Source organism: Homo sapiens, chromosome 18 (assembly GCF_000001405.40).
Source record: "Homo sapiens chromosome 18, GRCh38.p14 Primary Assembly".
Classification (NCBI taxonomy): domain Eukaryota; kingdom Metazoa; phylum Chordata; class Mammalia; order Primates; family Hominidae; genus Homo; species Homo sapiens.
In genome coordinates, this window is record NC_000018.10 from 66,571,014 (window position 1) to 66,589,461 (window position 18,448).

An 18,448-nucleotide genomic window follows, 5' to 3' on the forward strand; every position below is an offset into this window, starting at 1 on the left:
AACTGTGCGTATTATTTACCTGTAGTCTGAGTCGAAAATAAAAGGGGTTGAGAAATATTTCTTGTAATGTGTGTGTGTGTGTATGCGTGTGTGTGTGTGTTCACAATACACCCTCCTCCCTGCACGTTTGGAAATACTTGCCTAAAATCCTAATCTAAGGCTTTGGTTGAATGTACTCATATACATTTGGCTGATAACACAGGTGAAGTTCTATGGAATCCAGATACCATGCTAACACTGCAGCTCTCCTGAAAGGGCTAGAAAATGAGAGTTAATAAATTTTGAGTGCTTCACCCTTTGGGCCCAATTAAATTTTAGTGCCAGTTAATTAGCGGTTAAACTTATTTCAGTTCATTTATCTAGAGAAAAAGCCTTATGGAAAAGGACATGATATTGTAATCACCTTTGTTTAAAGAAAACCAAATAATAAAATACAAGCCAAAAACATAAATAGGAGATGCTTTGTCTCATTAAGGAATTGTTCTTAAAATATATTCTTTTAAGAAAGTGAACATAATTATTCCTTTTACTTTAACTTTACTAATCAATTTAAGTGTGTAGGCTCCTGAAGCTACTTAACTGTAGGAGAATATGGTATTAACCTGCTTCATTAAAAATGAACGAGGGGTAAATCAACAGCTACTTAGCGTAACAGAAAATCGGGCTAAATACTGTTGGTAAATGATATTTGTCTCACTGTGACTGCTTAGATTCATTACCAAAAATAACGCAATAAAGTTTCCAGATGTTGAAAATGAGGGCTGCATTTTCATACGGGATACTGAAGTGAAATTTAAAAACCAGAGCTATCCCTCTTCAAGATTTTAGTGGATGTTTTAGGTGCTTGCAAATCTGAAACAATTATTGATGCTGCTGTTTGAAGCTTTTCAATGGCTTCACTGTAAAAATGTGGAACTCATCAAATCTCCAAACTTCTCCAACATATTTATTTACATTGTTGTGCTATTTACTGTAACATTTTAAATAAATAAGTACCTGGCCGATGTGATGACTAGTCGTATTCATTTCCTCTGGTACAAAAAATTGGTTCCACACCCAGCCACGCTTCACTCTCAAATGAGATCGCACTGGCTGCTTGACTTTCTTTGTTTGAGAGTTTTCTGTTGCTCCAAGACAAGGCCATAGGAGAGGAATTCCCAACATAAAACGCAGCAGTAAATAACAGTTCATTGCGTTGACTCTTTTGATTCCAACTATTACTCTTCAGAGGAAACAGGACGTCACTAACAAAAATCTTGCTTTCTTTTATAATCTTTTCTGATTCTGTGTACCTTCTATATACCTAAAGCGTCAGAAACAAAACAAAATTTGACATTTTAAAATAACATTTTCTCACATAATTACTAAAGACAGGTTACAACTTCTGCATCTGACAAAAGTGGAATAAAAATAAACATTTAATTTATCTTCCAATTAAGCTGGCTAATTATGATTTGTAGCTCAGCAATAATTTGATTAGAATAATTATAAATTTCCACTCAGGCACTGCTAGTTTTAAACTGCAGTCATAAATCTGCCTGAAAGTTGAAAGATTGCTCTGGGAGTCTCCTGGATTGACAGCTGACATTGAGATAGACTTCCTTTTAATTTGACTTGCTTACTTTCTCCATTCTTTCTCAGTAAAATACAAACTATCTCATTAAAGCAACAGTCAATCCAGGAGGAAAAAAGTCTTATTTTTCCTTTTTATATTTGATAGAGATAAGCTTCCTCATCCAATTTCCCAAATTATGGTATTTTATGTAGTAATTAAATAGACAAAATGACAATTCAGCTTAAAACTGGTGAATTCAATAATCAGTTACACTGATACTATAAAACACTGAATAGAAAGCTTGCATAAGATATTTACTCTTTTTTAATTTCAAAGATATGGGGAAGAAGTGTTTATCAGCTTAACAAAAACAAAATCCTCTTAGGACAATAAATACAAAATGATTGTTCCTGGGTAAGAATGGGTGAATGTTTGTAATATGTAAGAATGATATGAAATGTATCTTCTAGTATTTAAATATTAAAACAAAAGACTCTGGCTATTGAGTTTTACATTTAAAACTTTCCATTGACCCAAGGCTCTCTCTTCATGATGGGTACCTCTAATCCTTATATGTAACTTAATAGTTTTGCATTTCCAACATCTACATCCAGCCAAATTTGATTTATTTTATGAAGAAAAATAATTTTGTAAGATTCACAATGGAGTTTAATGTCATATAATCAACAGAAAAGCCAGAGTTCATGTTAGGACTTTTTCTACATGATTGTGTTTTGAATCTTCTGCATGTATTTTTGAATGACTCCTTAGAGATTTTTTAGGTCTTTGGCTCGTGTTAAGAGGAGTTGTTAAAAAACACCTAATTAAGAAAGTACACAGGGATTCTGTGGTCCCGGTATACTCCCTTTAAGCAGATGTATTCCTTGTTAAAAGTTTACTTAATGAAGGTCATAGAGAAATTCAACTGAGGTGAAATTTATCTTTATGTTACGTATTTGAAATTCAGATAAATCTGCTCTTTAGAAATTGCTAAAATATATATTTTTGGTAGCTGATGAATAAAAATATTTGGAACTGGTACAATATTATTCATGAAAAAGATTTTTTTTATAAGTTTGGCAAATTATTACCAACACTGATATGAAGTTAGCTGGCTGTGTTTCAGTGAATATAATTTTTGGGAACTTTATATTATGGTATTTTGATACATATAAAGATAAATAAAATAGTGTAATGAACACCTGGATATCATTACCCTGTTTCAGTAATTACCAACACATGGTCAATATTGTGTCATTTCTACACGTGCTCACTTTTTAATATTAAAACCAATTTCAAATTCATATCATTTTAACCACTGAAGCCACACACACACACACACACACACACACACAAGTATACATGTTATGTAAGTGTGTATACACACTTTTAAACATCAAAGCTTAAAATTAAGAAAAAATTTTAATATAATAAAATATTCATACAGTGTTCAAATTAAAAATCTTTATCTTTGAATTAAGATTTAAATATGTCCACACAATGCAGTTTTTTGGTACATTTCTCAATTCTCATTTGGTCTACAGGTTTCCTCCAATTTTTCTTTCCGTTTATATGCTGAAGAGTCAAGGTTATTTGTCCTACAGAGTTTCACATAGTCTGAATGTTGCTAATTGTATCACTGTTGTGTGATTCAGTATGTTTCTTTATCCTCCATATTTTTTATAAATGTTTAGGGGCTTGATTAGAAGTAATATAAAATATTCATCAAAAATATTCATAGCCAATCCTATTGCATGACATCTTTAGTAGACTAGGACACAAAATATATGTTCAAGAGACCAGAAGAAATGTTGAACGTGTTAAGCAGAAAAATTGAAAAAATAAAATAAAGATTAAACTTTTAGAGAATAATACTACAATGTCTGTGATGAAATACACTGCATATGATTAATGGCATATTATTCACACTGAGAAAAAAAAACAGTTAAACTGAAGACAAATATAAATCTTCTGAAAAAACATAATGAGAAACAAGTTAAAAAATTAAAAATGAACAAACTATCATTGAGTTGTGAGACAATTTCAAACATTCTCATTTATGTATAACTGCAGTTTCTAGAACCAATGAAATTTAGAAACTCATACATCCAAAATGTTTAACAAAACTTAAGCACAGGTGTTAAAAAATATTATACCAAGGAGCATCATGATTAAATTACTCAAAACCATTAATAATGAGAAAATCTGAAAGGTAGACAACGATATGTTATATATAGAATAACAAAGATAAAGTTGTTAGCAGATGTCTCATCTCAAACAATGCATGCCAAATGACACTGCAGAAACATTTTTAAAGTATTGAAAATGAAAAGAAATTAATCCAACTGAGAATTTCTCAACCAATCACAATGATTTTTGTAAAGAGATCAGCTGAATTGAAAGAGAAGAAACTGAGCTGTCAGGTATTGGAACAGCTAATCCAAAGAACATGTAAAAAAATTAAGAGGTAAGCCTTTAGACACTTAGTGCAATAGTATAAGCAAGAGGCTAAAACAAAAGAAATTGTTGCATCTCCTTTTTTCATTTCCTCCATGGAACAGCACTCTAATTCAGAGGATAAGCACAGACCTGTGGATCATTTCATTATAATGGTAGTGCTACAAAAAACTAAGTCATTTTTTATGGACTCTGGGGTCGGGGGAGTGCAAGGGGAGTGTTAAGAGTGAAAAAGTACTAAGTACATTGTCAGAGTGGGAAACTGTCTTCAAGGTTTCACCCACTTTACTCAATAAGGAGACCTCATCAGAAATGCTGGAGAAAGACCTCTGCCCAAGGCCACAGATAAAGCCCTCTTTACACTTTAACACTGGGGCTAGTAATGCAAATATGAGAAGAGCATGACCTAACAGAAGGGACTGTGTCCTTGACTGCAACTCCCTTCAGAGAATGCAATGCACTGGTTGTGCATCAAATCTGGTGTGACAAGGGAATGTTTTCGCAGTGACTACTGTACTGCCAGGTCAAGTCTTTATAGCTGCCTATCACCAGGCCTGAACAAATCACAGTTGTTACACCAAAGCCGTATTCCTAATCTTCAATAAAGGAAAGTGGGATGAAGACTCTTTCTGGTGTACAGCATCAGCACACAAGGGGAACTACAATACGATACATGATTAAATGAGTCCTTCAAGAAGAAATAAAATAATACTAGAAGGAAATCTGGATCTATGCAAAAATAGAATCACCAGAAATGGAAGGTATATCAGTAAATAGAAAGACCTTCTTTAAATTATAATATCATTAAAGGAGAATTGGCTGTTAAAGCAAAAATAATAACAAAGTATTGTGGAGCATACATCATTTACAGAAGTAAAATGTATGAAATTAACAGCATAAAGATTAGGAATATGCTATTTTAAGCTCCATAAACCATATATAAAGTGGTATGATATAACTTAAAATAGATTATAATAATGGTACATGCGCATATAATAAACCTAAAGCAACTACTAAAATAAAATAACAGAGTTTACTACAGGCTACAAAATAGATAAAACTGAAGCCTAAAGAATACTCAATCTAAAGAAAAAATAAAAGAAAAAAGTGAGCAAAGGACAGGTGAAAAAAACATACAAGTAGCAAAGCAGTATGTTTAATATTAACCATAATAATAATCACTCTAAATATTAATGGGATAAAAAAATCAAAGTATGAGATGAGGATTATTAGATTTTTAAAAAGACTCAACTATATGTCTTTAAAATGATTTAAAATATAAAGGTACAGTAGGTAAGAATTTAAAGAATGAAAAACATATATCTTGCTCAACTCTAGTCAAAAGAAAGCTACAATGGCCATAATATTAGATAATGTAGATTTTGGGACAAAGAATATTAGCAGTGATAAATAATATCATTTCATAATTATAAATTTCATAATTATAAGTGATAAACATATCATTTCATAATTATAAATGATAAACAATGTCATTTCATAATATAAAACAATATCATTTCATAAGAATTATGTCAATTCATTAACAGGGCACAACTTTTCTAAATGTTTATACACTTAATAACAATGCCTCAAAATAAATGAAATACAAGATGAAATAAAACCTTATTGTATTACAAGAAGAAACACACAAATCTATAATTCAAATTGATTCATTTCTATTCAACATTATACTGAAAATTCTATCCAATGAAATAAGAAATGAGAAGCATCTAGATTAAAAAGATAAAAATATGTTTATTTACACAGGGCATAAATACACATATAGAAAATCTTATGAAATCTATAAAAATACTGGTAAAATCTATAGGTAACTTTAGCAGGGTTGGAGGATACACGGTCAATATTAAAATCAATTATATTTCTATTTACTAGCAACGCATAAGCAAAATTTAAAATTTATACAACAGTACATTTTATAATAATATAAATAATTCAAAGATTGGGACATAAATCTAACAAAAATGTGCAATACCTCTCTATTGCACACTATAAAATACTGCTAAGAGGAATCAAGAAAAATCAATATGATTGGAGATATTTATGATGATACTGGATCAGAAAACTCAAAATGGTTAAAAATGTCAATTCCCTCCAAAGTGTTGTATAAATGCAATTTTAAAAATACAATTAAATTAAAATTAAAATACAAAATAAAATTCCAAACAGGTATTTTTATAAAACTTACATGCTCATTCTATAATTATATATGCAAAAGCATGGGGCTTAGAATAACTCAAAGAACATTTTAAAAGAAGAGGAAATTTGGAAGACTATGCCATCTGACTTTAACACATAATGCTACAGTAATCATTATGGTAAAGTATTGGATCAACAAATAATTTAGTAGAACAAACCACAAAGTGTACAAATACACCTACATTTATGTGATCAATTGATTTTTGAAAAAGTTCAAAAGGTGAATCAATGGAGAAATAACAGTCTTTGTGCTAAAACACCTGAGTATTCACTTGAGAAAAAGATACTTTCATCCATACTTTACCGTGCATGAGGTCACAAAAAGTGAATACAAATTTAGATGAAATACTTGTAATTTCTTTGGCAAAGATTTCTTACAACAATATCAAAGTGCACTTGTTAAAAACTGTTAAATTGGACCATATCAAAATGGAGATAATCTCTGTATCAGATCCCATTGCTACTGTAAAGAATTCCCACAACTCAGTGTCTTAAAATGATACACATTTATTGTCTTACAGTTCTATAGGTGAGATGTTTAAAATGAATTTCACTGGACTGAAACCAGGGTGCCAGAAAGGTCATGCTTCCACCCAAGTCTCTAGAGGAGAGTCTATTTCCTTACATTTTCCAGCTTCTCAAAGTGTATTCTATTCCTTGCATGCCTTGGTTCATATTCCACCTCTAGGCCAGCAGCAGAGCATCTTCAAATTTCTCTCTACTCTATCTTCACATTGGCTTCTCTTTGTTGTGTTAAATTTACCTCTTCTCCCTTTATAACGACACTTATAATTTCCTTTAAAGTCCACTTGGATAATACAGGATAATCTTCCTACCTAAAGACCATTAACTGAATCTCATGTTTATCTACAGAGATCACAGTCTTTGGTTTTAGGTGTGAAGACCTTGATATCTCTGCGAGCCATTATGTGGTCTACCTCAGATGATAATTACATGAGGAAACAAGTCACAGACTGAGCGAATATTTGTTAATTATATATCTTGTATTCAGAGTGTACAAGGACTTTCAAAACTTGGAAACAGAGATTCATCACAATTTTTTTAAATACGCAAAATATTTAAAGAGACATATCACAAAGAGTTGACATGTAAAATAAGTTAAAAAATGATAATCAACACCTTCAGTTTCAACGGGTAAATGCAAATTAAAACTACAATGAGATACCAGTAAACTCTTACTAGAACGAATATAATTAAAAGACTGACCTTATCAAGTACTGAAGAGAACATAGAGCAACTGTACCTCTCATACACTGCTAGTGTGAATGTAAAATCGCATGACTATTTAGAAAACAGTTCTGCAATTTGTTAAAAAGTTAAACATATACCTACCATATGATCCAGCCATTCTAGATATTAGCTAGATATCAAGGATATCTATCTAGATATCTACCTAAGACAAAATAAAATTATATTTCCATATGAAGATGCTTACATGAATATCAGAGCAGGTTTATTTGTAACAGAAAGAAACTGGGAAAAGTCAAATGTCTATCAACAAGTCAATGTACTAAGAAAGTGTAATATGTCTATGCAATGTAATGATACTCAGTAGTGAAAAGAAATGAACTACTGATACAGTAATATCCAAAATAATAATGAGTAAAACAAGCCTGCCAACAAATTCAGGTTGTGTGTTTCCTTTTGCATCTAATTTTAGAAAATTTAAAACAATCATAGTGACTGAAATCAGACTAAGAACTGTGGGAAAATGGGGGTGGGAGGAAGATCAGGAGGGAAGGATGATGAAGGGACATGAGGAGACTTTTGAGGGCAGTGATGATTGTGCTCATTATCTGTATTGTGATGAAAGTCTTAGAAGTAGAAATATGTCAAAAATTCAATTCAACTTGAGTATATGCAGATTATTGTGCCAATTATACTTCATTAATGTTGTTAAAAATCTTGACTTGTCAAAACCTAGAAAAACAAATTAGACAACTAACCGTGGAACAACAGATAATAGATGTTTCTGATGTGTTATGATATGACCTTTATAAAGAACATTGCCTATAAAGTATTTTACCAAAAAAAGTTGAAAGCTAATTTTCAAGTTATGGGAAATTAACCTGTAATAAAAGAACAAATTAAACAGGAAACAAAGTAAACAAAGTAAAAGGAAACAATCAAACAAACCCAAATTGTGTCTTTCTACAGATTTGCTACCCACAGTGTAATCTGTGGAATAGCAGCATCTTACTACAGATGCGAAATCTTGAGCTTCTTCACAGATACCGACTTTGAGTCTGCATTTTATCACACTCACCACAAGGTCTGAATATACAATAAATTTTAAAAAAGCATTGATCTACCACAAAATTGATCTAGTTTATTTGACATGTCAAAAAAAGCAGGAGTATAGGAAAGATATTGCTCTAGATTAAGAAAGATTTAAGATATACTAGAACTAGTGTAAAATGTGGGCATTGTTTGGGTCATGACTTTACAAAACTGTTTTTATATTTGCATTTTTATGGATTTATAAAAAATTTAGTCTGTATAAGGTATAATACATACTAATGTAGAGATGAGCAATAGATGATAATGAGAAAGTATTGCCAGTTTTTTTGGTCATTGAATGTTTCTTTCTTGTTATATAAAAACACGCCCTATTTTTAGTCGTGTATACTTGAAGCATATTGGTATTAGAAATGACAGGGTGTCTTGAGAAAAAGTATATTTTCTTTAAAATATCTCAAAAAAATGGAAGATAGGCAAAACCATTGTGGTAAATTGATAATAATTGTTGAGTTCGGGTCACGAGTATTTGGATAGTTGTTCTTTTATTATTCACTTATGCTTAAAATATACGTATTAAATCAACAACAAAAATATACAGCAATTCGTACTTTTAAATCAATATGTTAAACAAATACAAGTAATTACTGTAATACCAGCTATTGATGACAATGTATAGAAAGCAGAACTATACAACACTCATAAAATGGAAAATTTGGACACTATTTTGGAGAATAATTTGGCCAAAAGCAATAAATTTTACAATGTGTATATAAAGTAGCAGTTGTATTTTACTATTTTATACCTAGAGAAATATTCAAATTTTTCCACTGGGAAGCAAGTATAAATTGGATTAATTGAAAAAAGAATGTTTAAATTAGGATACCATATGATAATAATTATATAAGTGTTTCACAATTACAAGGCAATGTCCCATAATACTCTTGGCATAAAGCAATTAGTTAAGTTAGTAAGTCTAGGCAGAGAAAACTGACAAAATTTGTCATGGTAATTACAATGATTGAAATAAGTGAAATTTGTCTAAAAGTTGAAACTTAGAAGTTTCTGCAAGATTCTCCTTCCTCGAAAACAGTTTAAAGTAAATATGACAAACAACAACACTCATGACATCTGGGTCATTTTTCTACCAAGTGCTATTTTTCCCTATTAAATATATGATTGAAATATTTCTCAATTCAATTTAAAGTTAAAAATCATCATTTATAATTCTAAGGAAAAAGCCCTTTAATTTGAACACTCTTAGATAAAACATTCAAGAAAAATGAATGGTAGCAGTAGGTATATCTCAATAATGAAATACTGTGGCTTTGTTTATACTCCTCTATATTCCAAACTTTCTATAATGGTCATACATTTCAGCAGAAGTGAAAAACATTTCACATAATGCTCCACTTCTGATTGAAGACTGGTGGCAGCTGTCAGCATTGCTAGACTGAGAAACACTCTGGGCTGAAACCAGGCAAATAAGAAAAAATGCTCTCGCCTGAAATGGGCCCTGGATAAACCAGCAGTGGCATTTTGCCCTGCATTTCCAATCTTGTTTATATTTTCCAATCAGATGAATATGCTAAAAAATCTACCTAACATTTCAGTATGAAGAAATGCTAATACTATGTCTTATGTTAGTGTGTTTTTATATTTTCTCTTATTGCTAATACCTGGGAATGTTAATCCATATTTATTTTCAAAGTTGTAAATATATTTCAAAATAAAAGTGCACTTATATTAGCACAATATTAGATACTAAACTAATTATAATCATATTTAAATAGCATTATTATAAGAAGAAACAACATATTATGGCCAAGTAAAATTGCGAGTATGTTTGTGATGATTAATATTAGGTGTCAACTTGATTGGATTGAAGAATCCCTAGATAGCTGGTTAAGTATTTTTTCTTGGTGTGTCTGTGAGGGTTTTGCCAGAGGAGATTAACATTAGAGTCAGTGAACTGGGAGAAGAGTCACCCTGGTTGTGGTTGGGCACCATCCAGTCACAGCTGCCAGCATGGCTAGAACAAAGCAGGTGGAAGAAGGTGGGAGAAACTGGCTTGCTGAGTCTTCTGGCTTTCATCTTCCTCCTGTGCTGGATGCTTCCTGTCCTTGGATATCAGACTTTAGGTTCTTCGGCCTTTGGACTCAAAGTGGTTTGCTGGGGGCCTCTCAGGCTTTTGGCCACTGAAGGCTGCACTGTTGGCCTCCCCGCTTTTGAGACTTTGGGACTCGGATTGAGCGACTACTGGCTTCCTACCTCCTCAGCTTGCAGAGGGCCTATCTGGGACTTCACCTTGTATCCGTGTGAGTTAATTCTCCTAATAAACTCCCTTTCATATATGCATATATCATATTAGCATTGCACCTCTAAAGAACCCTAATACAATATTTTATTTAATGTGTTAATTACATCCCATATGCTAGGACTTATATTCAGTAATTTTAAGTGACCTGTCCTGTAAACAAATGTATTCATAACTACTGATCTTAAAGACATCAAGTGTATTCTATACACTGTACTTTATTGAATGGAAGAAAAAAATGCATAAATATCTAACACTGTGACATCTATATCTAATGGTTCACTTTGTTTACATTGAATAAAGATCTATAAATTACATTTTAACGTTTGGACCATTCTTCAAATGACAAAATATATGTTTTCTATTATCTCTTCTTAGTATATAATTTTTCCCCTTGTTCTAAAGATTCTTGAGGTCAAGTAAAAAAAATAAGTCAGAATGATGGATTTGATGGCTGTGTGGGGGAAGACATAAGTTGAAGCTGGGAAATGTGGATGGGATAAATTTAGAAACTTAATCCTGTTTGTGATCTCTTAAAAAATCAAGGGAAACTTGGCAGCTTCACAGAATGACACCATGCATAAAAAGACTTTGAAATGGCTTTCTCAGAACCACTAGTATGAAATATAAAGAAATGTGAGTGGATACAGTTTGCATACATAAGTGAAAAGGAAGCAATATTTTGGGGCCAAAAATTTTAATAACCCATGTGTCAACTCTTTCTCTAAACATTCATTGCACAGCACTAAAATGTGAAAGATCATTTTCTGTTTTATTTATGAACTCTCATTAAGCATATAATTTGCATACTTACTGTCACCAAAAAAAAAAAAAAAAAAAAAAAGCCCTCTGGGACAGCTACAGCAGTGTGAGTCAGAATAGCTATACTGGAGCCTCTGATGCCCTCTTTGACATTACACAGCCTTCCACATTCACTATTGATGTGAAATCCTAAGATATACAGCAACAAGTGCCATTTCATTTTTGGGCTGGATATCATGAACTTTATTCAGGAGCAGTGGTAGAGGACTGTGGATTAATGAGCAGCATATGTGAAGTGGTAAGCACTGACAACATTAAGACTGAGTGTGCAAAAGTTCTAAAATGAAAAGAGATAGATTCCAATTGGTTAAATAAATGCTGGTGAAATTTCATATTCTTAGATACAGTATTTCACTTTTTATTCCCCTCCACAAACTATCAGACCATGATTTGCCCTTATTTGTCAAGGGTAAATTTTTGTATGCTCCTGTATTGAAGATTTGCCTAAAACACCTTTATCAGTATAGATCTTAATTATGTCTTTACCATCTTTGCAGTCTGATTTTTTAAAATTATTGTACTTTTTTATGAGCCTTTGGTGCTCTCAGTGTTATACAAAAATAAACATCAGACATATAAGCATTGATAATTATATTCTTTGTTTAAAAAACATAGTGACAGGAATAGAATGAAATGAAGGGCATCTGAAATTTATAGGGTTCGTGTGAGAAAAATAGGAATAAAAACATGATTTTCTTTTTTTAACTTTTATTTTGTGTTTGGAGGTACATTTGCACGTTTGTTATATAGGAAAACTCATGTCACAGGAGTTTGTTGTACAGATTATTTCATTACTCAGGTACTACGCCTAGTACCCAATAGTTGTTTTGTTCTGTTCTTATCCCACCTCCCACCCTCTGCCCTCAGGTAGGGCCCAGTGTCTGTAGTTCCCTTATTTATGTTAATGAGTTTTCACCATTTAGCTCCCACTTATAAGTGAAGACATGTGATATTTGGTTGCCTGTTCCTGAGTGAGTTTGCTAAGGATAATGGCCTCCAGCTACATCTATGTTCTCACAAATCACGTAGACCAAGGAAACAGAATACAGAGCCTAGAAGTAAGACTGCACACCTACAATCATCTAATCTTTGACAAAAACAAGCAATGGGGAGAAGACTCTCTATTCCATAAATGGTGTTGGGTAACTGGCTAGCCATATACAAAAGATTGAAACTGGACCCTTTCCTTACACCACATACAAAAATCAATTCAAAATGGATTAAAGACTTAAACATGAAACCCAAAACTATAAAAACCCTGGAAGACAATCTAGGCAATACCATTCTGGGCATAGCAACAGGCAAAGATTTTATGACAAAGACACCAAAAGCGATCACAACAAAAGGAAAAATTGACAAGTGGAATCTAACTGCTCTTAAGAATCCCTGCACAGCAAAATAAACTATTAACAGACTAAACAGGAAAACTACAGAATGAGAGAAAATATTTGCAATCTATGCATCTGACAAAGGTCTGATATCCAGCATCTATCAAGAACTTAACAAAAATTTACAAGACAAAACAACCTCATTAAAAAGTAGGCAAATACATGAACAGACACTTTTCTAAAGAAGACATACACTTGGCCAACAAGCACATGACAAAAAGCTCAGTCTCACTTATTAGAGGAATGAAAATCAAAAGTACGAGATACCATCTTACACCACTCTGAATGGCTATTATGAAAAACTCAAAAATAACAGATGCTGGTAAGGTTGAAGGGAAAAAGATACACTTACACTGTCGGTGAGAGTATAAATTAGTATTTACATTAGTTCATTTATGTCATCATTGTGGAAAGCAGTAAGGCAATTTCTCAAAGAGCTGAAAACAGGACTACCATTCAACCCAGCAGTCCCACTACTGGGTATATACACAAATGAATACAAATAATTCTATCATAATGACACATGCATTTTCACTCATGCACACATGAATATACATACCATAAAGGTACACGAATGCTCATTGCAGCACTATTCACAATAGCAAAGACATGGAACCAACCTCACTGCTCTTTAGTGACAGACTGGATAAGAAATGTGGTACACATATACCATGAAATATTATGCAGTCTGATTTTAACTTAACCATCACATGAACACAGGCTATTTCTTATTACTTTCCTGTGTGTTTGCAGTCAAACCTGTACAATATTTTCATGTTTTTCTAAAATGTGTTTTTTCTCTTAATGTTCTTATGACAAGATATACTACAGAAAAATAAAACACTGTTTTACTTCTAATATCTAAACAGGTATTCTACTATTCCTTTGATTATTTCAGAAGATAAACTCACATAAACCTGTCTTTATTTTTAGTTTTCATGTACAATTAAAAAGCACTGTAAACACTCTCAATAGCCAAAATCCATTCACTGGGAGGAGGTACATAAAATTGGTCTCACAGTTGAACAAACGACCAACCGTTGAATACAAACATTAAAAAATTTATGTCAACATGTTGTTACTCAGCAGCCACATAATTTGGTGCCATAATTGTCAAGTGAAATAAAGAAACGGAACACATACAATATAATTTCTTTAATTGAAGGAAAAAAGTTGTAGACAAATGCAGGGAAGAAGTCCTGGATATATATAATATAAATTGATTTTATATAAATAAATGTTATTTTGCACCATAGTAAAGACCAAGAGAGTCACTCTCTACTGACTTTCGGGTTATTTTCCCAAATAGTTTGAGATGGAATGTTCTAAAGACAGTTTGCTGGAGATAAGAGTAGCACATGTGGAGCAAGGATGGCTGAATAACTAACTCAACACCAACACTTGCTAGTTCCATCACCTTGGACGAATAGCTCGACCTCTGGTTGTCTCAGTTGTCTCATGTGAAAATTGAGGATAATTATTATGCCTCTCAAGGTCTGTGTTCTTGATGAAATGAGTTGCTGCATCCAAAATACTGTCCGGCACGTATTAAGAGTTAAATGTTTTTAGTGAGCTACATGAAAATAGCTATTGACAGGTGAATAATAAGCATCTAGTGATTTCTGCATTTCTCAAGGTCGAAATATTCAGCTATTTTCATTTCTGCTAAAAATATACACACATAAAAAGCTTTGTAAATGACTATTGCAAAAATACTTTAGTATATATTTTCCCTGATGTATATGTTCCACATGTATTTTCAAATTATTTGAATGTCATTATTTTTTTTCTAAGCATGGTTAAGTGACTATGACAGATACATATTATCATGCTTGAAGCAATACATGATATTGCATGGACATATATAAGCTGAAAATGAGCCCAGTGTGACTCAGAACAATTATATTTTCAAAGAAGACTAATTACGACTTAAGGGATGAAAAATATTATAATCTATGCACTTATGCAGTTTGAAACTGAATCTAATTAGAAATTGTCTTTTCTATGACCTCTTCTTGGTTACATAAAGCTAATTATTCCATCTGTGAAAACTTGTAAAAATATAATGTATTCCGGAAAGCTCATGGAAAGCTGAAATATTGAGCTCAACTAAGCCCAGCTTCTCATAGAGAAAAACAGATGGCAATTAATATAATGTCTCCATTTTTAGAAAAATATTGAGTAGGCGTGGCCAAAATGATATATCATAGACTTAGAATTTGTGGTGATCAGAGAGTTCCAAACCTTTCCCAAAACAAAGAAAAACAGAAAAACTTAAAGGTTTTGAAAATGCTACTAAAAAATAAGAATAAGAGTTTCTCTTCATCAATTTAAAAAACACATCTTACCTCTCCTCTTGGGAAGTGAACACATGAAGCAAGCAAATACTATAAAGCCTTCGTGTGAAACAAATAGGAACACATGGCTCTGGGGGACTGGAGTGGTAATATTAAAATGGGGAAGTAGTTAGAGAATATTACCTATCTTTCTTCTAATTTGAGAGATTCTTTATAAAAAGGAAAAAAAAAAGAAGGAAGCCACAAAGTGTCTATAAACAGTCCCCTTTCATTCCAAAAGCACCTCTGTAGTACCATATAGAGGAGTTAACATGGAGAGTTAGTGGCAGATTTTACACTATGTGGTGAAGTCTATTTTAAAAAATGATACTAACATTGTCTCAATGCTCATTTCAAAAAGGTACTCTGTATTTTTGTGAATTTATTTAAATCTTGTCTGTGTAGTTAAACACAGAAGCAAGAAAATTAATATTAGAACAATGTTAAGAAAAAATAAATCCCCTTCTTGAATTGTTGTGGCTGGAATATCTTTTGGAATGCGTATTACCTATTGTCTTTATTCCCACTTCCATGCCTATCCTTTTATTTAATCTATTTTTATCTTATATTAACATTTTAATTTTATTAGTTAGTTACAATATGATTTTAGTCTTAAAAGAAATTATTTGGATCTTCTAATCAGTGCTTAGAAGCACCTGCATTACCAGGACATTGAAATAATTGTTCTGTTTCTCCATCAAACACCCTAGATCCATGACCTTCTATTGCCTTCTTGAAGGTGATATTTCATCCCAGCACTCTGACTAATCCTGCTCTTCAGCAAAGGACAATATAAGTAAGAGAATCAATAATAACATGGAGGCAGAATTGACAAAACTTAATGACCAACTGGATGTCAAAAGAAATTGCCTGTGTTAGGAGTGTCAAATGAGAGTTGGGAAACGCAGAGGTTAAGATACCTTCAAAAATCACAAGTGACAATGCTAACTGGTGCTGGTTACTCCAGACTCAGAAGGAACTGCGATTGCTATCATGATATTCTTCCTTCCACTCCATCACTCTAAGAAAAGCTTAGGTTCAGATTTTTAAGACCTCATAAACTGTCCCTAAATTCTGAATGACTAATCGGATGAAATGGCTATGACTGGTATATAAAACAAATAAAAAAAAGAAGAACTAAAATGTTTTGGTTACTGTGGTAGACATATAATTGTTTACCAATATGTCTCTTGCAATTGCACAAGGTTACATGACTGGTTTTACTAACAAGATATGAGTAAAAGTGATGTACACCATTTTCGAACTGAAACACTGAAAGGCCTATGAATAATTGTCTCGTCTTTATTGCTTCCTAGTTTGGCAATCAGTAGTTGAAGGATGGTGGAGCCTCTACCAAGCCTGCGTCACTGAGTGACTGTGAAACTTGGATACACTTCCCCCACTAACTTCCACCTGATGTTTGTGGTAGGAGGTTGCTGAGAAATGGAAGGTTAATTGGTTACTGTAATAGCCTAGCTCCCCGACTAACAAAATCAACTGTGTCTCTAATGCCATAATGGTACTCATCTGTTCTCTTAGTAATTTGTCTCATAATTCAATGGTACAGTAAATATTATATTCATTTCAAAAGAGAAGAAAGATCAAGGTGAGCTTGTACAACAACTCCTCAAAAAATGTCATTTTGTTGAATTTCATTTCAGTGTAATATTGATGAGAAAAAAGTTGATTCACTGCCAGAGCCACTATCTGTGTTGAGTCTGCACATTCCCCCCATGTCTGCATGGGATTATCTGGATCCTCCAGTCACTTCCCACTTCCCAAAGCTGTGCACATCACGCTGGTTGTTCATCTACAAGGCCCCAGTCTGAGTGAGTGTGACCATGTGAGGGTGATCCTGCAATGGGATGGCACCCTGTCTAGGGTTGGTTCCCACCAATCTCCCTGGGTTTCTGGGATAGGCTCCTGTCACCCATGGCCCTGAACTGGAATAACCAGGTTGGAAAATAAACGAATACAAATTATTGTAAAATGAAGATTTGTAAAGTACATGATCATCATACAAATGCAGGACAATAAACTATGCTGGGTAGGAAAGAGTTCAGCGAGCCAGCTGTTATTTGTTAATTCTTGTGTTTGAACTTCATAGTGGCCAGAGGTGATCCTGACAATCTTTGTTTTGCCAACATTCATTTCTTGATTTAACCCATCACCACAACTGCCAGTCACTCACTGATTCGCCCAAAATTGGGTAAATAATGATCTTACTCATTTTTACTAATCATATATATCTATATCTATATCTATATATATATAGATACAGCTCAGATTTATTTCAGTGTTTAATATTAGAAATGTTTTGGTCCTTATTTATAAGTTTAGTGAAGTTTTTGTTACCAGAAATATGTCATAGGGACTAAACTCTCCTTTATCTCAATTAGCCTCTGATAAAATTGGTTTTATTACACAGTGTTTCACTTAAAGTTACAGTTTGAAGACTGAAGTGGAATATATGCAGATACACCACTAAACTACTGATTAGGGAATCATACATCCCAGGCTTCTTTTGATGATTAATGAATTAACAGCTTTTTAGAAAGCAGAGAATAAACAAATAATGCTTCCTACTTCCAACAATAATAACAACACAAGAAAAAATTTAAAAAGTAAAAATAAAAATCTTTAAAGGTTGATGAATAAGGTAGACTGAAAATTTCATGAACCTTCAAATAAATCATGATGGTTTAACAAAACCACCAATTACCATACATGTAGAGTGGGAAATTCCATAGTCATAAAATTATGCAAAGACTATTTTTTCCTAAAACATTGTTCAGAATAATGATCAAACATTATGTTAGTTAACCATGTTTATCACGTAAATTATATTTGACAAATTGAATGAATATACATATTTGAATATATATACATATATATATATACACACATATATATATATATCTGTAAAGGCAACATGAAGGATTACATATTTTTCTTCGAACCAACAGTGTATTTCATTTTCCCAAGAATTTCTAACAGTATTTATTTCTTTGTTCTTATGCTTTCATTAAGAAGATATAGTTTCACTTTGCACTTGTTGAAACTCTTTTTAGCCACTGCTTAGTATAGTAAATAAACC

The 18,448-nt window shown here is 32.5% G+C and overlaps 1 protein-coding gene across 6 annotated transcripts in view; it reads right to left on the reverse strand.

The window, feature by feature from the left end:
* Positions 1 to 18,448, reverse strand: part of CDH19 (cadherin 19) — a 103,008-nt gene that overhangs the window by 69,931 nt on the left and 14,629 nt on the right. For all 6 annotated transcript variants that reach the window (NR_073130.2, NM_001271028.2, NM_021153.4 and 3 more), the window contains exon 2: positions 997 to 1,303. Coding sequence is in view for 5 of the 6 variants with exons in the window: in NM_001271028.2 (NP_001257957.1) it covers positions 997 to 1,191 (195 nt within the window). In the remaining variant the exon portion in view is untranslated. The remainder of the gene's footprint in view (positions 1 to 996; positions 1,304 to 18,448) is intronic.